This window comes from Homo sapiens, chromosome 15 (genome assembly GCF_000001405.40).
Source record: "Homo sapiens chromosome 15, GRCh38.p14 Primary Assembly".
In the NCBI taxonomy this organism is placed as follows: Eukaryota; Metazoa; Chordata; class Mammalia; order Primates; family Hominidae; genus Homo; species Homo sapiens.
The window spans coordinates 80,112,221-80,136,740 of NC_000015.10; the positions used below are offsets into that span (position 1 = coordinate 80,112,221).

Below are 24,520 nucleotides of genomic sequence, written 5' to 3' on the forward strand. Positions count from 1 at the left end.
CTGCGCTCCAGCCTGGGCAACAAGAGCGAAACTCCATCTCAAAAAACTGCTATGCAGAGAAACTACAAAGCACAGTCAGTACAGTAGTCCAAAATCCCTATACTTTTATCAGAGTGACTAGCATTCATCCCAAGTGTTTTGTATCAAGTCATACTTTCTGATCTGTTGGCTTTATGAGCATTCCTGGATTTTTTTGAGACAGAGTCTTGCTCTGTTGCCCAGGCTGGATTGCAGTGGCGTGATCTTGGCTCACTGCAACCTCCGCCTCTTGGGTTCAAACAATGCTCCTGCCTCAGTCTCCTGAGTAGCTGGGATTACAGGCATGTGCCACCACGCCCAGCTGATTTTTGTATTTTTAGTAGAGATAAGGTTTCACCATGTTGGTCAGGCTGGTCTCAAACTCCTGACCTTGGGAGCTGCCTGCCTTGGCCACCCAAAGTGCTGGGATTACAGGCGTGAGCCCCTGCACCTGGCCAGATTTTTTTTATCATCTCTGCAAAAAGGTTACTGCTGCTCCTTACCATCCCTCATGTCTCTTTATTACCCATGTGATAGTTGGAGATCCAAAGGCTCAGAACTCGGAATTACTGTATGCAACAGGAAACACTAATCTCAAGCACCTATGCCAAGTTAGGTAATTCCTCTTTTGGTCAGTTAATAAGAAAAAATTAGAGTGTACCACAAATCCTATTTTGCACTCTTCTGGGATCCATTTGATACAATTGCAAAGAGAATTCACCCATTCTGAGCAGTTAGTTTTCCAGTGATTTGAAAAAAGGCGGAGTGTGACAGGAGCTCGTCTTACCTTTGTGTAACACTTTGTGTTGCGGTGTCGTACTAGTTCAAAGCTTAATGTGCATTCTTATTTAACCAGACATATTATGTGTATTTTTTTCTTTTCTTGAAATTATTAGTGAAGGTCCCAAAATGAAAAGGCCAAAGATAACTTATAAGATCAGTCAGATAACTAAAATTGAAGGTGGTCTTGAATTGGAGAGTACAGGCTCTGCCCAGTAGGGCCCTAGCTGATGGGTTTTAATTTGAGGAACATGAGTCCAATATTGTCAGATCTTCCTATTTTTCAACAGAAGAAATCTGGAATTACGTGACATTCCCCAATTTTTGAATGCTAGCAACTAATTTTTTTAAAAAATAATAGGTACTGGCCAATCAAATATGGCTATGGGTCAGATTTAACTGAGGTTTGCTAGTTCACAACTTCTTTGGACTAATTCATCATTATAAATTATATTTTCTCCCTATTTTTTTCGGGAGGAGGGAGAAAAAGAATGAAGTGAAAAAAAGTATGCATTTTATAACTGCCTTGGGCTGTTGGTCATTCTTGCTGAATAACTGTTTCATTTTATAAATTATGAATATTGCAGTGTGAAACATTCTACATCAGTTTTCTCCCCTTTTCAACAGAATATAGCCGTTTTTTGCCTGACATGAATACTTGTGACAATAATGAAGTGTGTTTACTCAACAAAATATTTTGTGGGGTTCATGTTAGGCATAAAGAGGGTTTGAAGAAGAAACTTAGAGTTTAGCTGGGAACAGAGTTGTATACCAGTGAGAAGAAACTTAGAGTTTAGCTGGGAACAGAGTTGTATACCAGTGAAGTATTTGAGTAATGGTACAATTAAGTGCCCCAAAAGAGTGGTACAAGCAGCTTCCTTAGGAATATAGAGTAGAAGAGGCTTGAGGTGGTCAGAAAGGGGCCCAGAAGAAATAGAATTTAAGCTGATTTCCTGAAGTAGATAGGATTATTACAAGCAGAGTACAAAGGTAGATGGGATATACTAAAAAAGGCGCAATATGAGCTAGAAGCTTGTTTCCAAGAGTGAGCATGATTTGTTTCAATCAGATGGAAGCAAAAGACCCTCTGCTTTTAGGAAGAATAGAGTAAGAACAGTTATTGAAATTTTGCTATGTGCCACACACTATTTGGATGCTTTTCATATGCATTATTTAATCTGGTTAGATAAGTGATGTAAGTGCCCTCTTAGTTGAAACCAGGGAAATTTAGTAACAAGTCCAAGCTTTTACAGGTAATAAAATGGCAAAGCTGGGATTCCAGCTGCTGCCGACCTGACTCCAAGCCCATTCTGTTTACATACAGCATAGTTTCTAGGGAAATTAGGCTGCTCGGGTTAAATTATGTGAAGGACGAATGCTAGGTTGAGTACTCCTCTCTGGGACAATTATTATACAAACTAAAACCGAAGTAATATGATGAGAACTGGGTGTTTTAGGAGAATTTCAATAAATGTATTAGGAGGAGGGGCAGTAAACTGTTAAAAATAACCCAGGTATGAAAAGCAATGAGAACCACAGTTGGGATGGAAAATAAAAGAGGGTGAAGCATTTCAAAATAAAAATTATTGGAACATGGTGACTTACCTTTAGGGAAGGAAGCACAGGAAAGTAGGTTTAAATGACATGTGTGTGCTGTTATAATTGAGTTTATGTTGCCATCATTACTATTCTTTTGTCAGAATTTTAATAATTGGTAATGAATTTTCTTTACAGTCTTAAAGCATTTAATCTTGAATTTTTAATCCTGCTAAGAACTTCCTAGGTAAAAAGACATAAAGGAAAAACAAATTTTTTCAAGAGCATGGTTTTAGCTAATTAAAGCTGCATAATATGTTAACATTGAATAAATAAATGGAATTTAAAAGGTATACTTAAATGAAACTAATAAGAATTAATGAATGCTCAGAAAATTATAGGTTTTCAGGGATATGATGGACTTTGACAGTTCTCTTTTTTGTTGTTGGTTTTGTTTTGTTTTGTTTTTTAGATCAAAAGACACTGACTTAGCTGCTTACCAGAAGGGGAACTTGGGCAAGTTACTAAGTCTTTTTGAGTATCATTTTTTTTTGTTTTTAAAATAGGGATATCAACAGCACCAACATCATAGTGTTCTTGAGAGGATTAAATGAGATATAAATAAACAATAAAAAGAGTTCCTGGCACATAGTAAACTCTGAATAACTGTTAAGTATTGTCTGGGATGTTAGAGGGAGTAATAGGTTGGGGATTTGACTACGAATGTTATGAACAGTCAAAAGTCACATTTTATGAATTCTCTTCAATTCATAGGCTTTTGTTTATTATACCATGCTAATCATTTTTAAAGTATCTGGTAGAGTGATCTTACTCTCTGTCTCTGGATTTGTGGTTTTATAATTCCACAGTGCAGCAGTTAAGGAATTGTTCTGCCTTTTCTCCCCTTATCCCTTTTCCTCCCTGATCATTTGAATGCCAGACTGATTGCCCCAAAAAGGTATAGTAGCAAAGGGAGGGAGGCAGGACTTCCAGTTTCTTCATAGCTACCCCATCTATGCCATTACACATTCAGATAAACTAAATTACTCTTTATGGTTTTTTGTCTTTTTCAGTCTTTCTGACTCTTCATGTAAAGGTACATTTTATGGCCTAACGATTAATAAATAAGACTGATTCTTTTTTTTTTTTAAGAATCCTGTGAGAAACCCTTTGTGCCTCTTGAGTTATGAAAATCATTGTTAATTTGATGCCGTGCAGGCAGTTTGACTTGGGAAAATTGGTAGTGTTACAAGTTTTCAAACTTTAATCTTAATGTTTTGAAGTAATTGTAATGAAAAGCTTAGTGGTCATATTGTACTTTCATCTATGACTTTTTACTTGAGTTTTTATGGAAATATATTTATCCTTTTACTGTTTGGTTGCTAGCCATATATTTACCAGTATCATTGGGAGAGTTCCTTTAATTCCTCTCTTACACTTTAATGTTGTTAATAAGCAGTATAGCATAGTTGGTGGTTTAGACCCGAGTTCCTCAGTCTTTTTTCTCTATTTTTTCCCTAAGGAGCCTTTTTAGGTTTTTTTTTTGTTTTTTTTTTTCTTAAGTGGCCCCCACCTCCAGAAGATTTTAACTCCAGAGAGATATTGCAGGTCTGTTTATGTATTTTATGTATATCTGTGTTTTATACAAGAGTAAGGGTTTTTGTGACCCTTTCCTCCAAAAATCAGTGTTTTCTCCCTTGAGGGGCAAACTGTCTATACTGAGAGTGCACGTTTTATAAGCAGTGGATTCTCAAAATTTTGGTGTAAATATCCCGAAGGGCTTTTGTGTGTGAGAGTTATATCTAGTGAAATCATATTAAAAATTAAAGCTGAGAAAATGTTTTAAGTACTAGTTTATTTTAAAATATTTTAGGAAAATAACCACTTTCCTCTCCCCCACACTTGTTAATGAGAAGAGTGGCATTGTTAACACATTTTTGCAGATTTTTTAAAAAGTCTGCCTTAATAACAACATTCTAGTAGTTGCTTTGGCATTCAATCTGTTATAGTGTTATAAAGAAAATCTGGGCTCATATGTATTTGGAAAGAATATTTTAATAACATTATCAGATAATAGAGGTTCTTTGATATTACACTAAAACTTGACGATAGTTTCTTAAAGGATAGTTGCAGTGTGAAATTGAAACCATACAAGACAAGCTTGTTCAATCTGTGGCCCAACACAAATTCATAAACTTTCTTAAAGCATTATTTATATATTTATTTATTTTAGTTCATCCACTGTCGTTAGTATTAATGTATTTTATATGTGGCCTAAGACAATTATTCTTCCACTGTGGCCCAGGGAAGCCAAAAGATTGGATACCCTGATATAAAACTTTTTGTCCTGTTACATTAAAATTCATTGGCTTTTCACTTTGAATGGATCTTCTGTTCATGAGTAATTTCTTACTATTTCTTGCTAAGCAACCAACATTGGTTGCTTAGAAAATACTGATTCAGTGTCTTAGGATGATATTTCAAATATTGATATAGTAGCAACTAATCACATTTAATTAATATCACCATGAATCTTATCAGAAACTCTCAGAATATTGGAGATGCTTGTCAAGGTTTTTTTCACTTGACTGTTGTCTTTGATAACAGATACTATTAGATGTTTGAAGTGATGAGTGCACTTTGTTCATTTACAAAAATATCTACTGAATACTCTTTTTTTTTTTTTGAGACGGAGTCTCGCTCTGTTGCCCAGGCTGGAGTGCAGTGGCACGATCTTGGCTCACTGCAAGCTCCGCCCCCTGGCTTCATGCCATTCTCCTGCCTCAGCCTCCTGAGGAGCTGGGATTACAGGCTCCTGCCGCTATGCCTGGCTGATTTTTTGTATTTTTAGTAGAGACGGGGTTTCAATGTCTTAGCCAGGATGGCCTCTATCTCCAGACCTCGTGATCCTCCTGACTTGGCCTCCCAAAGTGCTGGGATTACAGGCATGAGCCACCGTGCCCAGCCTGAATACTCAGGTCTTAATAACCAGTTTATTAGTCATTCTTTCAAATAAGAAACGTGTTCCATGAAAAAGGCAGTTCAGTCAGCTCACAACTCAAACAATTGCACAGTGCTTTTTCTTCAGTCTTCATACTTCTTTACACAACAGGAGTGCTTCATGCATGCTTCCCGGTTTGTCATGTAAAATGTTAAGATGTGTATTCAGGGTCAAGATTTAGTAAAATTAATAATTTTTACTGTGAGAGCATGGTGATGAAGAGTTGACTACTAGTACAGTTGGGTGCCACTGCTTTGATTTGGCCCCTTGATAAGGCTTCATCTATTTTTTTCCCCCACAATTGCTATAGCAGCATTTGTCCATATGGTGAAAAAGGCAAATAACTCACTAGTATTATTATGAAAACAATTTTGACCTCTATAGGGGTATGTGAACCATACTTTGAGAATCATTGACGACTTAATAAGTGATGGAGCTGGGATTCAATCCAGGTATTGAATTGTGTGTGTGTGTGTGTGTATATGTATGTATATACATATATGTATACATATGTATACATACTATATATACACACATTATACATAGAATCCCAGCTCCATCACTTATTTTATTTATTTATTTTTGAGACAGAGTCTTGCTCTGTTGCCCAGGCTGGAGTGTAGTGGTGCGATCCCGGCTCACTGCAACCTCCGCCTTCCCAGGTTCAAGCGATCCTCCTGCCTCAGCCTCCCAAGTAGCTGGGACTACAGGCACACGCCGCCACACCCGGCTAGTTTTTTTGTATTTTTAGTAGAGATGGGGTTTCACCATGTTAGCCAGGATGGCTCTAGCTCCTGACCTCGTGAGCCACCGTGCCCGGCCTCCATCACTTATTAATTAGCTACAGGACCTTGAGCAATTACTCTGATACCAAAATCAGATAAACATAAAGAAAGCTGCAGACCAGTATTCTTCATAAAATAGGCAAAAAAGGGGAAAAACCCCAAAATATTTGACATTAGCATTTCTATACTGTGCTTGTTATTTTTTAATGTGATATGTGTGTGTATGTATGTATATATACATATGTATATATTTTACAGGGCTGTAGAAGAAAGAGGGTTCTAAAGTAGCATTTATAAAAAGAAAGGTGGCAAAGGTGGGATTCTGAAATGACTTGTCATCATGGAATAAGAAAGATGCTTGCCAAAATCCCAAATTGTGTTCATAGGCTAAAGGTTTAACTATCCTCAACAGTTTTAGGACTTTTTTTTTTTAAAGGCAGCTGCTAAGCCTGCATCATAATTCAGTCAAGTGCATTATTGCTCTTGGTTCTGAAATACGTATAAATCCTCACTACCCATCAACAGTCTTCAGATAATGTAGAGGAAGAGAAATCTAGTTGGTGACAGTAAACTGTGAATGCTTTTCTTGGGTGTTTACCAGTTCAAGGAAATTTCAGTGGCAAAACATTTTCCTTCTTTGGTTAGTCTCATTCTTCATGATCTTTGAAATAGACTCATCTGTAATACATATACACCCATTTCGGAGTAACCTTCACTTAGGAGATTGTTGTTTTTTAATAAGAAAGAGAGCCCGTTAGTACTTCTGTCATGTTATTCATGCCAAAGAACCAGTTGCTTTATGGGAGAAATGGCACATGGGGTTCTTCCATCTGCTGTAATTGATTATTGCTTTCATGTGGTTCCCAAACAATTCCCTCAGTCCCAGCATCACTTGCCTGTCTGACTAATGCCTCTGTCCTGTTAGTTTTTAGTATTTTTTAGTTATAAATACTTAAAAAAATAAAAATTTCCACCAATTATGCAAGTAATATCTTCATTTTAGAAAATTTAAAAAGTAAAGGTACAAATCAGGGAAAAACACTAGCTTCACCATCCTGGGATATGCTCATTACTGTCCTTTTTGATGATTAATGGGTGCTCCTTTTTTCCTAATTGGCAAAATATAGTATACGCATTTCATATTGTGCCTTTTCATTTATTATCGGTATTTCCCTCAATCAAAAAATATTCTAAAATATTTTTAATGACTGCATAACTTTTGTCATTTATATATCATGCTTTTTTAAAAAAAAACTGCATACATTCTAATGTTATTGTCTGTTTATAAAAATTATAAATAACGCTGTGAAGCACATCCCTTATATTTTATTATTCTTTTTCTGATTATACTCTAGTCATTTTGTTGAAGACCCTTAAAGGGGAATGACTGGTTCAGATAGCAATATTTGTTTTTTACAGGGTTCTTGAAGTGAATTGCTAACTTGCTTTCCAAAAAGATTGAACCAATTTATTATCATTTTACAAGCATTCAGCCCAGTTCTCCATATCTTCACCAGAAATGATACTATGTGAAATGCTTTTGAAACAGAATAAATAACACACATTAGCACATGAACTTCCAGCAAAAGTTTAAATGCTTAGATATTAGATAATATAACATACATCAAAACTTATAATGTATATCTCTTATTACTAGGAGGGTCCAAACTGAGCTAGACTTAATAAGTTATCCTTGACCTTCTGGGGGTAGAGTCTTCAAAACAGATTTCTTTCTCTAGGAGTTCTTTATACTTTCTGAGCCTGTACAGACTTGGCTTATGTAGAGTGGGTTGGAGATAAAAAGTTCAATGTGTGTCCTTTTGGTTTTTATATTTTTCTCTCCTTTTTAGCCCTATGTCTTGGGACAGTTATGTAGAATAGTTTGATATATGTGGGCTTTTTTCTTTATCATATAAAAGCAGTTTTGGATAATGTGTGATTGGAAGTTACGTGTCTGAGTTCTTTGCTAATTTTATGTAATTTTCAGGTGTGCAACTGAGGAACATGGCTCAAGAAACTAATCACAGCCAAGTGCCTATGCTTTGTTCCACTGGCTGTGGATTTTATGGAAACCCTCGTACAAATGGCATGTGTTCAGTATGCTATAAAGAACATCTTCAAAGACAGAATAGTAGTAATGGTAGAATAAGCCCACCTGGTAAGTAATTCTAGTGAAACCCGTCTATATTCATAATTGAAATACAAGTGGATATTTCGGTATACCCAATACCTTTTTCTGCTCTCACATTATATTTATATTACCATATTCATATCAGTAAAATTTCTCATTACACATTGTGATTATAATCAGTAGTGAGGAGTTAGGAATGAGTATCATCACTCATTGAAAATACTGTAAATTCATACCATAATCTTATTTCTGTGGCTGTGGAATTCTGTTACTTTATTTAGAGGGGACACCTCAAGTGTCTTGGAAAGTAAGGGAAGAGAGTGATAAAAGAACCTTTGTTCTTTTATCTGGTGTGACTTACAGCTCAAGTAGTTGTTGAAGGAAGGAGTGGATTATTGATAACCACAGCTCAGTGGACTTGAGAGGAAGCTTTACTCCATTAGGAAGGAGGAGTATCGTGGATTAACTCATAGTAAGGGATGTTCAACCCCAGTTCACTAGGGTTTTTTATGCCTTTTTGTGTCAAAGGATATTCTTGGAATTGAGGTGGTCTTTTGTTTCAGTAGTTGTATAAGAAGGATCATGCGGATTCCAAGTATAAGCTTTGCAAAAAGGAAAGTGTTTAGTGTATTCATTTAGGATAGATCTCATGTAGGTTAATGCCTGCATGTATAGATTTTTGTGGTTAATGAAAGTGTAGGCTATTACTTAGTTCATTTAATATTGTGTGTGAGATCTTGTCTGTTTTTGTTCAAGCCAAAACCTACAACCATTTAACCAAAACTCCAAATTTGCTTAAGGCTAAGATCAAATGAGTATAAATTGTTTTAAAATTAAGTCATCATCTACATTTATAACCTAATGTACTGAGCATAGATTTTAATTCTGAACCTATATTCTTCACTGCTATGTCATCTTATTTAAATATCTCATTTGTTCTCTAGTACTTGGAAGATGTTTTTGAATTAAAGCATTTGGGCTTGGGTGCTATTCAGTCCTAAGAAATAGGAGTTTATTAATGTATACAATTTGCAGATGGTTTCCTTCTTGGTTTAAAATTAACATATTTTTCACTGGCAAACCGTTGAAAAATTTTTTAAAAATAATGAACCAACATACTACATATTAAAAGAAAACCTCTATACTGTGTTCTGTGGAAAATGGATTTTGATTTTTTTAGATAAGGTCTTAGACTGCTGAGCATATAGAATCACTAATACGCAATGTGGTACTGTTACAGCAACCTCTGTCAGTAGTCTGTCTGAATCTTTACCAGTTCAATGCACAGATGGCAGTGTGCCAGAAGCCCAGTCAGCATTAGACTCTACATCTTCATCTATGCAGCCCAGGTAAGATGTACTCTCTGAATTCTAATGAGAATGCTAATAAAAACTAAAGAGTATATTCTGTGTTTGATTAATAAGGAAAACTACGTAAAGCTACTTTTAGATTAACTGGCCTAAAATTTTATCGTCTGATTATAACTAGTTAGAAAAAGCGATTTCTTGCTTTTACCTTGAGGGATCGGGGGTTATCGTTTAAGTCTTAGATTTCTTTTTCAGGCATCTTTTTCTTTCTCATAATATATCCTGACCTACTCCTGAAGTCCTTTGGAAGCATGTTAAGTGAAATGTTAGTCTTATTCTGCAAGTATTACTACCGTGTATTAAAAAAATACAGTCTTGTCACACATTATCTTTGTTTAATATCATGATGTAGTACTCATATTTGTTTATATTGTAATGTGTATATATATATTTTTTAACTCTGAAGTCACATCATTTAGAAGCCTGCATACAGCAATACTGGTTTCATTTTTATTCTGCTTTTAGGAACCAATATATTAAGTTCCTACACTGGGGTTCCTTTTTTCCAGTTCATGATAAGATATGTTCAGTTTTGCTATGCCAGAATATCATTTACAGCTTTGTCTTAGGGTTCTTTAAGCATGTCTTTATCATGCTAGTTTTCATTTAGTGAATTCATGTGGTACTTGAAATACACAAAGGACATATACACTGTTGCTTTGTTTCCAAGGCAGTAAAATTCTGGTCCAAATTAGTCTCTAGTTTTAAAGCTCTATGATTATGTTTAAGTTATTAAAAAAAAGTATGTCTGTGTTCTCATCTTAATTATCTACTTAGATATGTTGAACTCTTACTGTGTCACATTAGTTAATATTCATGTGTAGAGATCACCTTTTAAAATGAAATATTTTGCTTTTCTAGCCCTGTATCAAATCAGTCACTTTTATCAGAATCTGTAGCATCTTCTCAATTGGACAGTACATCTGTGGACAAAGCAGTACCTGAAACAGAAGATGTGCAGGGTTTGTATATGAACTAGCATGTATTTTGTTATTTGAGTATTATAGGCCAGACACTATCCTAGGTGCATGTATAAAAAAATTGCCAGCTTAAAATACATGTTTTTCTGTTTTCCCTATGAACACAATACTTTATATCTTTAAGTATTTAATTAACATGTTGGGGAGCCATTTCACACTTACATGTAATTTTATCATCAGCATAAATGTTGCAAATTCAAAATTTGTTTAGTTTGGAAAATATAATTAAATGAATGTGTGGCAGTGTTACACTGTTCTCTTTTACTATTTTGGCCGTTTCAGTCTATATACTACTCTGTAAGAAAACTGGGGCTGCTGGTTTGAGGGGCATCTCTTTCTTTTGTGTTTTGACTCATTATCTGAGAGACTGTGTCCATCGTGCCTGGCAGTTCTCCTTTTTTCTTCCCCATGTGTGCAATAGTCACATTCAGTTGCTCGTATTCACAGCATGGTATCTATCGTGTCTTGCCCATGCTCTTCATATCCCCATTATGAAGCTCAAAGTGATCTAGGAAGACTTGAAAATTTGTATGAAGGCTTTCGTAGTAGGGAGAGAGAATGCGGAGTAGGCCATTTTGGAGGCTATTAAATAATCTCTGCTTAATTAGTTGTATTCTAGCAGTGTGTGGAAATAACATGGTAACAAGGAAGGATCTCTGGAAAGATAAGCCTAATGAAGAGCAGTGTGTCATTCTGCCTGTGAGATGATTTACCAGTGAAACTTCATTGCACATGGTGTTCACATGATGGTAACAGATACATCTGCCAATCCTAGTTTAAGATGGCTAAATTTTTAATTTAGGCCAGGCACTGTGGCTTGTGCCTATAATCCCTACCTACTTGAGAGGCTAAGGCAGGAGGATCGCTTGAGTCTGGGAGTTTGAGACTAGCCTGGACAACAAAAAATTAGCCAGGTGAGGCGGCACATACCTGTAGTCACAACTACTCAGGAAGCTGACGTGGGAGGATTGCTTGAGCCCAGGAATTCAGGCTGCGGTGAGCTATGATCGTGCCACTGCACTCCAGCCTGGGTGGGCACCAGAGCAATTCCCCCACACCCGGTCTCAAGAATTAAATAAACAAATTTAAATAAGCTAGGTAGTTCCTCTTGCTTTTTTTTCATACCCAGCAAATACTTGAACCAGTTTGCTTGTTTGTGTAGATTTTGCCGTAACAAAAGAATATTCTGTGTGGTCAACGTAAATATTCTAGTCCCATCTAGCATATTGTGATAAATTCTTAAATGTTTTAAGTGAATAATTCTTATTTCTTAGTTACATCAAAAAATTTAAGGAAGGGCAGAAATGAGGAATCTTTAAAGAAATAAGGAAAAGACTGGGCGCGGTGGCTCACGCCTGTAATCCCAGCACTTTGGGAGGCTGAAGCGGGTGGATCACGAGGTCAGGAGATCGAGACCATCCTGGCTAACACGGTGAAACCCTGTCTCTACTAAAAATACAAAAAATTAGCTGGGCGTGGTGGCGGGCATCTGTAGTCCTAGCTACTGGGGAGGCTGAGGCAGGAGAATGGCATGAACCTGGGAGGCGGAGCTTGCGGTGAGCCGAGATGGCGCCACTGCACTCCAGCCTGGGCAACAGAGCGAGACTCCGTCTCAAAAAAAAAAAAAATTTAGAATGTTGGCAGTGAAAAAAATGTATAAAGCTTAAGAATACAATAGTATTTACAGAAGTTTGACAAAGAATAAAGGTCATAGATTGGTGAACTATCATAACACATAGGAAGTGTTTTTATACCATTTATTTATAAAAGTGTTTTTATTTCCATTTGTGGTGTATGGAAAACAATACCGTTTTCTCCACTTAGCCCTGAGTATATCACTTCAAAAGGTGGTCCTGATGCCATATTAGGAGAAATTGTATAGGCCCCATTTTTCATACATGATTTGAATGACTTTTAGGTTAAACCAGTATTAACTTGTAAGTACCTTTAAAAAACTTAGCATTCGTAATATCAGCAGCAAATCTTTGATAAATTAGGTATAAGTTTCATCTCAGTTTTAAGAGAGGAGGGTTAGGTTCCAGTATGTAAAATCTCTTAACAACCTAGTTTTTAAAAAAAATTTAACATATTATTGAATTAAGAATACCCTTTTTATTATAAACATACACAAATATAAACATGTATGTTTGTATATATGTACGTGTATATTCTGTATGTGCACACACTCATACACTTACATGCAATTACGATTTCCCTATTGATCAAATTCAAATAACTTTTTTTCCATTTATTTAATAGATGGATGAAAAGAGACAGAAAAAGTCTCTTTGAGTCAGTCATATGGTCATAAAAGCTGGAACTGGAATCCAGGGACCTAACTCATAGAGGCCAGTATTCTTATGATTAGACAGTTGTGGAGCTTGTTGGACTAGGATGTGGATATGTGTATTCCTGTTAACACATACATCTCCCTCAGTTCTCAGGGTAGGATCAACTCGTTTAGCAAACTACCCAGGTATCAGTTTTCTTCTTCCTCACTCCATATGCTTCCCTCAAGGGAAATTTATATAGATAGGAAAACCATCCCAAATGGAAGAAGGTATATGAGTAGCAGCTATATGTCTAAGCCAGAAGTTTGTAACATTTTGTAATTGGAACATTCAGAACAACTTTTTCTCTACATGTATTCTGCTTATAATTAGGATATGCTGCCACCAGGTTGGTGGTACTGCTTTCATATTGGCCACATGGCTCTGAAGAATTTTTATGTTTCATTGAGAATTTAGCATATTGAAGCATGTTTCTTAGTTGTTCTTTTTGATTTAAAAATATAGCAGTACCTTACTTACATAGTGTCACTCAGGAGTATAAGTCAAATTTCCAGTTCACAAATGCTAGCTTTTAAAAGAACTACTTTAAGCATTTTGGTACACTCTAAAACTGTTGAAGAATATGCTTAAATTTGGTCAACCTCTTAGTCCCTCAGATCTTGGGTCATAGTAGAAAAATACTGAATTTGGATTCATAAGTTCTATTTTCCTATCTTGGTATGCCTGCTTAACTTCACTGAGCCTTACTTTCATTACTCTTAAAAGAGAATAAGAATGTCCCTCTTACAGGGTATTAAAAGATACTGAGATAATGGAGGTTGGATGAGCTTTGTAAGCTGCAGAAGATATTCTTTATATTGCCCAAGTGATTTGGGAGTTGTAGGAGGCCTAGAGTAAGAGAGAATTTTGAAGCTTTCCAACACTCGAATGATGTCATATGTTAAGATGGTAAGGTCTACATCACTGAAGCATTCTAGGAAAGATGAGTTGATGTTAGAGACCATATAGAGAGAGGAATGCTGTGCTTAGTGACAGGATGAACTAGAATTCTCAGGCTCTTTCCTACTCTGAGGGTTTCTGACTTTATACAAAGTTGAATTGTCAAATCATTGGTTCAGAAAAATCAGAGGGGGACAGTCTCTTTGGACTGATTTAGGAAAGCTGTATGGGTTTTAAAAATCAGGCATTTCTTCTGATTCTAAAGAATGAGTGAGAATAGCCAAAGGTATCTTGAAAAATAACAAAGTTGGAGGACTAACAATTCCTGGCTTCAAAATTGAGTACAAGCTACAGTAATCAAGACTGTGTTGTACCGGCATGAGGATAGTCATGAAGGTAAGTGGAATAAAAAATTGAGAGTCCAGAAATAAACTCTTATTATATTTATGGGCCATTGACTTTCAACAATGGTGCCAAAATCATTTGATGGGAAAAGAGTAATCTTTTAAACAAATGATGCAGGAACAACTTCATATCCACATTCGAAAGAATGAATTGGACTCCTATGTCATACCATATGCAAAAATTCACCCGAAATACATCAAAGACCTAAAACGAATATAAGAGAACTATAAAACTCTTAAAGCAGGTATACATTTTTGTGATCTTGGTTTAGGCAGTGGTTTCTTAGATATGACACCTTAACCACAAGCAGCCAAAGAAATTATAGATAAATTGAGCTACATCAAAATAAAGATTTTTGCTTAAAAGAGTGGAAAAACAGCCAGGTGCAGTGACTTATGCCTGTAATCCCAGCACTTTGGGAGGCCAAGGTGGGCAGATCACTTGAGCTCAAGAGTTTGAAACCAGCCTGGGCAACATGGCAAAACCCCATCTGTACAAAAAATAGCCGAGTGTGGTGGCGCACGCTTGTAGTCCCAGCTACTGGGTAGGGAGGCTGAGGTGGGAGGATCACTTGAACTTGGGATGTTGAGGCTGCAGTGAGCCATTAACGCACCACTGCACTTCAGCCTGGGTCACAGAATGAGACCCTCTCTCAAAAAATAAAAGAGTGGAAAACCAGCCTACAGAATGAGAGAAAAAATACTTTGAAATCATATATGTGATAAGGATATATAAATAATTACAATTCAACAATAGAAAACCCATTTTAAAAATAAGCAAAGGATTTGAGTGGACATTTCTCCAGAAAAGATATACAAGTTTCCAATAAACACATGAAAAGATGCTCAACAGGGCCGGGTGCGGTGGTTCACATCTGTAATCCCAGCACTTTGGGAGGCTGAGGCGGGCGGATCACCTTAAGTCAGGAGTTGGAGACCAGCTTGGCCAACATGGTGAAACCCCATCTCTACTAAAAATATGAAACTTAGCTGGCTGTGATGTCATGCGCCTGTAGTCTCAGATACTCGTGAGGCTGAGGCAGAGGAGAATTGCTTGAACTTGGGAGGTGGAGGTTGCAGTGAGCTGAGATTGTGCCACTGCACTCCAGCCTGGGCAAAAGGGCAAAACTCCATCTCAAAAAAAAAAAAAAAAAAAAAAAAAACCATGCTCAACTTCATTAGATATGAGGGAAATGGAAGTCATGGGACACCACTTCGTATCCACTAGGATGGCTCTAATCAATAACAAAGTATTGTCAAGGATGTAGAAAAATTGGAGCCCTCCTGCCTTGGTGGGAGTGTAATATGGTGCCAGATACTCTGGAAAACAATCTCCTAGCTCCACAAAAAATTAAAAAGAATTGTCATATGACCCAGCATTTTTCTCCTGATTGCCAGGAGAATTGAAAACATACGTCCACACAAAAACGTGTACACAAGTGTTCGTAGCAGTATTATCTATAATAAAAAATAGAAACTACTGAGATGGCTGTAAATAGATCATTGGATAAAAAAAAATGTGGTATATCCGTACAGTAGAATATTCAGTCACAAAGAGGAAGGAAATTCTGATACATGCCACAGTATGAGTGATCCTTGAAAATATGCTGAATAAAAGAAGTTAGGTACAAAAGGCTACATGTTGTATGATTTTATTTATATAGAATGTCTAAAACAGGCTAGTCATACAGAAAGATTAGTGGTTGCCAGAAACCGTGGGAAGTGGGGAGTAATTGCTAATGAGTACAGAGTTTTCCCTTAATGTGACTTAAATGTTCTGAAAGTAGATAGTGGTAATAGTTTTATAACCTTGTGAATATAATAAAAACCACTGAATTGTATACTTTAAAGAGTGAATTTTATGGTATGTGAAATCTCCCCACCACCCCAAGACAGTGAAGAGGGCTTTTGCTGGAGGATGACTTGTGAGTGCAAACGCATACAGGTAGGAAAAATGAAATTTGAGAAAGAGTGAAAAGACTGTTTGCTGAAGTGATCAGTTCAGGCAGTTATATGTTGAAACTAAAGCTAGAAAGGTTGTTTGGAAGTTGATAAGGTATTCCTTGGTCTTAAAACTCACATAAAAACTGAGGAAACAGGATGATTTCTGGGAATCATAGACTTTTAAAAATAGTACTATATCATCTTGTCCGTGAATTCATTTGGTGACTGTTGAAATTCAGGTTGTCAGCTATTAGTTTCAAGTAAGCTGAGGTTACCTTAGCCTCATGGGTATATAATCGACATTTATTGGTCCCACATTTGAGTTATAGCATATAAGCTTTTAGATAGCCTTCTGATCCTTCACTTTAAAGACTGCATTTGCCTCAGTTAAAAAGAAACCATTGGCCTTCTTTGGGGCTTTAGGGTTAATACTGTGAAATGTCTTTTGAGATATGCAGTAGTATTTGTATGCATAGAAGATAGATGTATTTTCACTCTTCTCCATTTCCAGATCCCATTCAAATTTGTGTCTCAGTAGTTAGACCAGTTTTGTTAAAAACTATAATCTTGTGATAATGTTACTGCCATTAAATGGGTTTTTTTGAATTTTTCTGGAGAACAGGTTAGATATGGCTTACAGGTTTCAAAACCAATAAATACTGTAGGTTCATTTCTGATTGCAAGGTAAGCTGTTTTTGAGTCCATATGCATAGCCAGATAGGCTTATCTGATACTGTTCTAGGAGCTGGAGATAAACAGTAAACAAGACATTCAGCCCCTGCCCTCTTGGAGCTTACATTCTAGGGATATTTATTCATTGAAAATAAAAGGTTTGATGTGTCTATATTCTGTTTCAAAAATAGTATGTTCACAGTATTATTAATAGAACTGTCCCCTGTCTGGTTTCAGCATGTCTGAGTGGAGTAACATGCTATAGAGTTTGTCATTAGCACATATTTACTTGTTTGTGGCATTCTGCCTTTTGTCATCTTTTGTTAAAATATGAGATAATGATGGTAGCATAAGCAGGTTAGAATCACAGCAAATGTCTGAGCATGTATTACAATGTGTAGTTCACTGTGATAGGACTGGAGGTTCAGATGGGGAATAAGGTAACCATCCTTCTCAATGGCCTTACGGTGTAGTTGGGGAAATGAGGCACATAAATAAAATAGGTAAGTAATTCAATTCAACAGATACTTATTGTCGAATGTCTGCTATGTGGTTGGAGACACTGGGATAGGCACTGATAATGGGATAAATAGGACCGATGTCTCCCCTCAAAGAATTCAAAGTTAAACCAAGTTAAGCCAATGAGGGAATTTTAATATGAAAAGTGCTATACACAGGGTTTCCCACCCCAAGGTTGTTGGAGAGGCAGTGGAGGAAGAGCTGATTATATAAGCTTAAACAAGAAAAACAAGTTAGAGTTAGCCTGATAAAAAGAGGGACAGGAGGGGCATAGAAAGAGTATTTTGTATGGAAAGCACAACTTATACAAGAGCCCAGAGGCAAAAGAGAGTTTGATATGTCCAGGGAAACTGCAAGTCCTTCAGTATGGCTGAATCATGGAGTACTGTTGAGGAATAGTGAGAGATGAGGCTAGAGAAAGAAGGATGAAGAAAATCATGAAGGACCTCTGGGCTTTATCCTGGGGGGTAGTTGGGAGCCATTGAGGAATTCTAAACATCAGAGGGAACACCATTAGATTTTCACTTAAGGCAGATGATTGGATGCAATGTGTGAAGCATGGATTGTAGAGGGAACTCATGAGGTGCCCAGTATTTGGAAAAGGTGTTAAGGAAAATCAGAGTGAGAAGCTACAGAGAATTGAGACAAGGAAAGGGTATTTGACCTTGGTCTTGAAAAAGAGGAGGACCTAGATCAAATGGGGAAAAAGGAAACCCTTTGGAATAGATTCTAAGAAGTGTGAGCAAAGGTACATGGCATATTCCCAGTGTAGATTAATGGAGCAGTGGATCCCTGGGGAAAGTCTAGTTGGGGATAAAACTGGAGAGGTTAAGAATTTGATCCATGGGAAATTCCACCATTTTAGAGCAAAATGTCACGTCTGCAAGGTCATATTATATGATTCTGACTCTGGCGACAGCATTCATGAGGGCTAGAGTAGTTAGCAACTGGAGGGAGGCATGTTAAGATTTCAGAGTAGTAATTTAACCCGAATCTTGGTAAATCTGGCTTTGGTTTCCATACATAAATGCATCAACTTATTATCTTACAACATTTTAAAGCTTCTTTGCTTCAATTTGCCTTATTTCTAACATTTAAAGTGCTTTTATGTGAAACATTCTGGGAACTTTAAACATACTTAATATTCCACAGAATCTTGGTTTCACCTTTTCCCTCCTCGTTCTCTGAGAGACCTATGTCATTCTGACCCCGAACAATATTAAGAACTATGCATATGGCTATTGTCTTGCACACTCCCTTAGAATATTCAAGTAGTATTTGTTTATGTGCCTTTTATTGATTAAATTTGTAGTTACTAGAAAAATTAGAAAGTACAGTTAAAACCTAAAGAAAGTCTATAAAACCACTGTTAACATATCATTACATATTCTAGATTATTTTCTACATGCATATATACATACATTTAACAAAAAGGGGTCATATTTTTGTAAACAACTTTGTAATTTAATGACTAGTTTTCTGTGCTAATAAATTCCTCAGTATCCTCTGAATAATAGACTAGGGAGGGTGGGATGAGGAATAGCAAAATCTTACAGAATAATTAAATTTTGCCACCTTCGTATTTTTGTTAGCTTCAGTATCAGACACAGCACAGCAGCCATCTGAAGAGCAAAGCAAGTCTCTTGAAAAACCGAAACAAAAAAAGAATCGCTGTTTCATGTGCAGGAAGAAAGTGGGACTTACTGGTAAGGACCTAAATCAAATGTTTAAAATTAAAATGATGTTTTATAATAATGCATAGCTTACTGTTGTTGACTTCAATTAAGATTGTTCCTGTTCCCTTGAGAGTTAATATTGGATATACTTCACCTTCTGAATTTTCTTAAGGAAATAAAAATAGCTTTGATTATACACCTAAAAGTGAAATGAATAGCTTTTTTAAAAAAAGTTTTATTTCAGTTGAATTTAGAAGTATTAGACAAATAAGGTTAGTGTGCCAGATTCTGTGAAAGGTCAAAGATGTGGCTCCTGCTTTTAAGGAGAGAATATTTTGAAGTACTTGGTAAACTGGAAGTACTTTCTATATATAAAATAGGGCTAATCATACGTTGTTGTGTGGGTTCAGTGAGTTAAGACATGTAAGCAGTTAGCCCAGTGCTGCCACACAGTAAGTAATTAATATATGTTGGCTACTGTAACATAGCTATCAGATGCAGATGGTGGTGGGAGGGAGAAAGAAATGTTCAAAAGCATTTAGCAAAGAAAGTACATGAAGTGCAGTCAGATTGCTCTGGGAATTCAGGGATGAGAGTAACTAATTTACATTTTAAAATGGTAGTTCTTAGAGGCCCAGCAAGGAAAGGACCATGAAGGCAGAATGTTTCAGTGTGTCTTGAACAGTGAGTAGGACTTATAACTGATGGAAATAGGGGCATTTCAGGCAGAAAGAATAACTTGAAGAAAATGAATAGGGCATGTGCAGGGACCATGAATAGGGGAATGTCGCTGTGTAGCACATAATACGTGAACAAGACTGTTGTGTACTGCAGTCCAACAGGAATAAAGAAATAAGACTAAAAACTTATACAGTTGACTCTTGAACAACATGGGACTGTAGGGGTCCACTTAGAGTTTTTTCTAATACATTGGAAAATTTTTTGGAGATTTGCAGCAATTGGAAAAAACTCACAGATGAACTGTATAGCCTAGAAATATATTTTTTTAATTAAGAAGAGTTAGGCATGTCTTGAATGTGTAAAACATGTGTAGATACTTGTGTATTTTATCATTTACTACCACAGAATATGCACAAATCTATTATAAAAAATTAAAATTTTATCAAAACTTGCCTATACAATATGCAGATCATACATGAAGCCATTCATAGTCAAGAGAAATGTAAACAAATGTAAAGATGCAGTATTAAGTGAGAGTGGCAAAAAGTTACTGTGGTATATACTATACTTCTCTAATAATTTCATAGCCACCTCCTATTGCTATTGCAGTGAGTTCAGGTGCTGCAAGTATCCACTTAAAATGCCACACATTTTAATCGGCACTGATCACCTCTGTTTCAGCAGTTTGTCTCTGTAGTAAATTGCCTACCACAGTAAAAGGTAATCTCTTGTGGTTCTCATGTATTTTTCATCGTGTTTAATGCAATACTGTAAACTTTGAATAATACCATAAGACTCGTATAAAGTGATGCCACTAGCACTAGTGATACTGGAAGTGCTCCCAAGAAGAAGAGAAAAGTCTGACATTACAAGAAAAAGTTGAATTGCTTGGTATGTACCATAGATTAATGTCTGCAGCTGCTATTCTGCCATTTCAAGAAAAATGAATGATGTCTGCCATTTCAGGATAAATGAATTCAGTGTAAGGACTATTGTTAAAAAAAAAAAAAAGGAAATTTGTGAAGCCATCTCTGCAGCTATGCCAGCAGGCACAACAACTTTGTACTTTTTTATGAAATACCTTTTTATTTTGTATTGACAATGCAGCTTTTATGTGGGTGCAGGATTGCTATAAAAAAAGGCATACTATGATTCAAGAAAAAGTGAAGTCATTATATCACAGCTTTTAGATTCTAAAGCTGGAGACTTTAATGCCAGCAAAGGATGGTGTTTTTTTTTGTTTGTTTGTTTTTTGTTTTTTTTTTTGAAATGGAGTCTTGCTCTGTCATCCAGACTGGAGTACAGTGGCACTATCTCGGCTCACTGTAACCTCCGCCTCCTGGGTTCAAGCAATTCTCCTGCCCCAGCCTCCCAAGTAGTTGTGATTACAGGTGTGTGCCACCATGCCCGGCTAATTTTTGTATTTCTTTAGTAGAGATGGGGTTTCACCACGTTGGCCAGGCTGCTCTCAAACTCCTGACCTCAGGTGATCCACCCACCTCAGCCTCCCAAAGTGCTGGGATTATAGAGTGGAACCGCCACACCTGGCCGGTTTGGTAATTTTAGAAAAAGGTTTGGCTTTGAAAAAGTCAAGATAACAGGAGAAACAGCTTCTGCCAGAAAAGAGGCAGTAGGTTCCCAAACTACATTAAGAAAGTTCCCAAACTATATTAAGTTGTTGGAGAAAGAGTATCTGCCTGAACAAGTTTTTAATGCAGACAAAAGTGCCCTATTCTGGAAGAAAAAGGTCACAAAGATCTAAGGAAGAAAAGTGAATACTAGGACTTAAGGCAGGAGGAGATCGTCTAACTTTACTGTTTTGCGCAAATGCAGTTGGGTTTATGATCAGAACTGCCATTACCTATAAAGCTGCTAACCCGAGTCTTGAAGGGAAAAAGATAAACACCAGCTGCCAGTCTTTTGGTTGTACAACAGGAACGCTTAAACAATATGAACCCTTTTTCGTGATCGGTTACATTAATGCTTTGTCCCTGAAATCAGAAAGTATCTTGCTAGTAAGGGACTGCCTTTTAAAGTTGTTGGGTTTTTTTTTTTTTTTTGAGATGGAGTTTCACTCTTTTCGCCTAGGCTGGAGTGCAGTGGCGCACTCTCCACTCACTGCAACCTCCTCCTCCTGGGTTCTAGCGATTCTCCTGCCTCAGCCTCCCTAGTAGCTGGGATTACAGGCGTACTCCACCATGCCCAACTAATTTCTTTGTATCTTTAGTAGAGACGGGGTTTCGCCCTGTTGGCCAAGCTGGTCCCAAACTCCTGATCGCAGGTGATCCGTCCACCTCAGCCTCCCAAAGTGCTGGGATTACAGGCACGAGCCACAGCTCCTGGCCTAAAGTTGTTTTGATATTGGACAATGCCCCTGGCCACCCAGAACCTCATGAGTTCAGCACTGAAGGCGTCGAAGTGATAAATGCTTGCTCCCAGAGAAGCATCTCTAATTCAGCCTCTAGGTCAGGGGTCGTAAAGACCTTTCAGGCTCATTACACATGGTACTCTTTGGAAAAGATTGTCAGTGCTATGGAAGAGAACCCCAATAGAGGGAACATCATATCATTGAAGATACCATTATTGTTTAGAAAAAGATGTGAAAGCTCTCAAGCCTGAAACAACAAATTTTTGCAGGAGAAAACTCCAGATGTTGTGTGACTTCACAGGATGGAAATCATGATAGAGATTGTGGATATGGCAAGAAAGGTTGGGGGTTAAGGATTTCAAGATAGGGATCTTGGAGATATTCAGGAGCTAATAGACACCAAACCAGAAGAATTAACAGAAGATGACTTGATGGAGATGACTGCTTCCAAACCACTGCCAGACAGTGAGGAAGAAGACATAGAAAAAGAGAAAAAGCGTGCAAGAAAACAGATTGACACTAGACAGTCTGACAGAAGGGGTCTGATTATTCAAGACTGCTTTTCACTTCGTTTGCAACGTGGACCGTTTGGTGATATGAGAACTGAAACTAAAGCAAATGGTGGAAGAAGGATTGGTACCATATGGAAACAATTTAGAGAACAAAAAAGCAGAAAAGTCAGAAATTACATTGTATTTCCATAAAGTTACACCAAGTATGCCTGCCTCTCCAGCCTCCCCTTTTACCTTCTCCACCTCTGCTAACCCTGAGACAGCAAGACCAACCCCTCTTCTACCTATTCAATGTAAAGACAAGGATGAAGACTTTTATGATGATCGACTTTCACTTAATGAATAGTAAATATATTTTCTCTTCCTTGTGATTTTCTGAATAACATTTCCTTTTCTCTAGCTTACTTTATTATAAGAATACATTATATATTAATAATATACAAACATACAACACAAAATATGTGTTAGTCGACTATGTTACCAGTAAAGCTTCTGGTTAATAAGCTATTAATAGCTCAAATTTTGAGGGAACATAAAATTATACATGGATTTTTGACTTGTAGAGGGGTCTGCATGCCTAAATCTGGCATCCTTTAAGAGTCAACTGTACTGTGGTTAGTTGGAAAGTAGTTGCAGCTATAGATAGTCAAAATGTATTGTTTACCATGTGCCAGGCACTGTGCTGAACACTGCATAAAAATTGGACTTACAGAAAAGAGTAGATAAGATTTTGAGCAGAGCTTTGCTTTAGGAAGATTATTTCTGGTTAAGGAATGGTTTGGAGATGAAAAAGAAAGGAAGTTAGAGTTTAATATCAAAGATGCTTCAAGATCAGGTATGGTGGCTCACACCTATAATCCCAGCACTTGGGAGGCCAAGGTGGGAGGATTGCTTCAGGCCAGGAATTCGGGACCAGCCTGGGCAACATAATGAGACCTCATCTTTAAAAGAGAAAATTTAAAAAGATGTTTCAGATTTGCCCATACCTTAGCACATGTACATTTAAAGAATACAAACATGGCCCAGTGCAGTGTCTCACACCTGTATTCCCAGCACTGGGAGGCCAAGGTGGGAGGATCACCTGAGGCCAGGAGTTGAAGACCAACCTGGACTACATAGTGAGACTCAGTCTGTACAAAAAAATTTTTAAAATTAGCTGATCATGATGGCATGTGCCTGTAGTCCCAGCTACTCAGAAGGCTGAGGTGGAAGGATTGCTTGAGCCCAGGAGGTCAAGGCTGCAGTGAGCTATGATTGCACCACTTCATACCAGCCTGAGTGACAGTGAGACCCTGTGTCAAAAAAAAAAAAAAAGACATTTTAAAATATACATATTTAATATTAAAGATAGCCTTTCTAGGGCTGGGCATGGTGGCTCATGCCTGTAGTCCCAGCACTTCGGGAGGCCTAGGCAGGCAGATCACAAGGTCAGGAGATCTAGACCATCCTGGCCAACATGGTGAAACTCAGTCTCTACTAAAAATACAAAAATTAGCTGGGTGTGGTGGCGTGCACCTGTAATCCCAGCTACTCGGGAGACTGAGGCAGGAGAATGGCTTGAACGCAGGAGGCGGAGATTGTGGTGAGCCGAGATCATGCCACTGCACTGCAGCCTGGTGACAAAGTGAGACTCCGTGTCAAAAAAAAAAAGGAAAAAAGATAGCCTTTCTAAATCTCACAAACCCTCAGACTTCAAGATTAGAAGGGTGAGATTTAATAATTTTCATCTTGTCCAGTCTGTCTAATACAGTGCTGTTTGCTTCATTTTTCATTCATTATTATGAAGTTACAAATATGTCTTTGAAGTTAAAAATGTGGCAATGGAGGTTAACATCAAATATTAATGTTTAAAATATTGATTCCTGTGCTCCATTTCTAACAATTGTATCATACCATAAAATTCTAATTTGGGGGAG

The 24,520-nt window shown here is 37.2% G+C and overlaps 1 protein-coding gene across 18 annotated transcripts in view, besides 1 other annotated feature; it reads left to right on the forward strand.

Annotated features, from left to right (window-relative positions):
* Window positions 1-24,520, forward strand: part of ZFAND6 (zinc finger AN1-type containing 6) — a 79,443-nt gene that overhangs the window by 53,270 nt on the left and 1,653 nt on the right. For 15 of the 18 annotated variants that reach the window (XM_047432697.1, NM_001242912.2, NM_019006.4 and 12 more), the window contains 4 exons: window positions 8,108-8,278; window positions 9,492-9,600; window positions 10,480-10,580; window positions 18,960-19,073. In XM_047432697.1, the coding sequence (XP_047288653.1) occupies window positions 8,125-8,278; window positions 9,492-9,600; window positions 10,480-10,580; window positions 18,960-19,073 (478 nt within the window). In that variant the 5' untranslated portion in view covers window positions 8,108-8,124. Of the gene's footprint in view, window positions 1-2,806; window positions 2,851-8,107; window positions 8,279-9,491; window positions 9,601-10,479; window positions 10,581-18,959; window positions 19,074-24,520 lie in introns of all 18 variants that reach the window. The other 3 variants (NM_001242917.2, NM_001242919.1, NM_001242918.2) reach the window with 3 other exon arrangements.
* Window positions 143-869: an enhancer, noted in NCBI's record as "H3K4me1 hESC enhancer chr15:80404705-80405431 (GRCh37/hg19 assembly coordinates)". NCBI's record gives its function as "activates a minimal SCP1, AML or CMV promoter by ChIP-STARR-seq in primed H9 embryonic stem cells {active_cell/tissue: H9 hESC(primed)}" and the evidence as "EXISTENCE:reporter gene assay evidence [ECO:0000049][PMID:30033119]".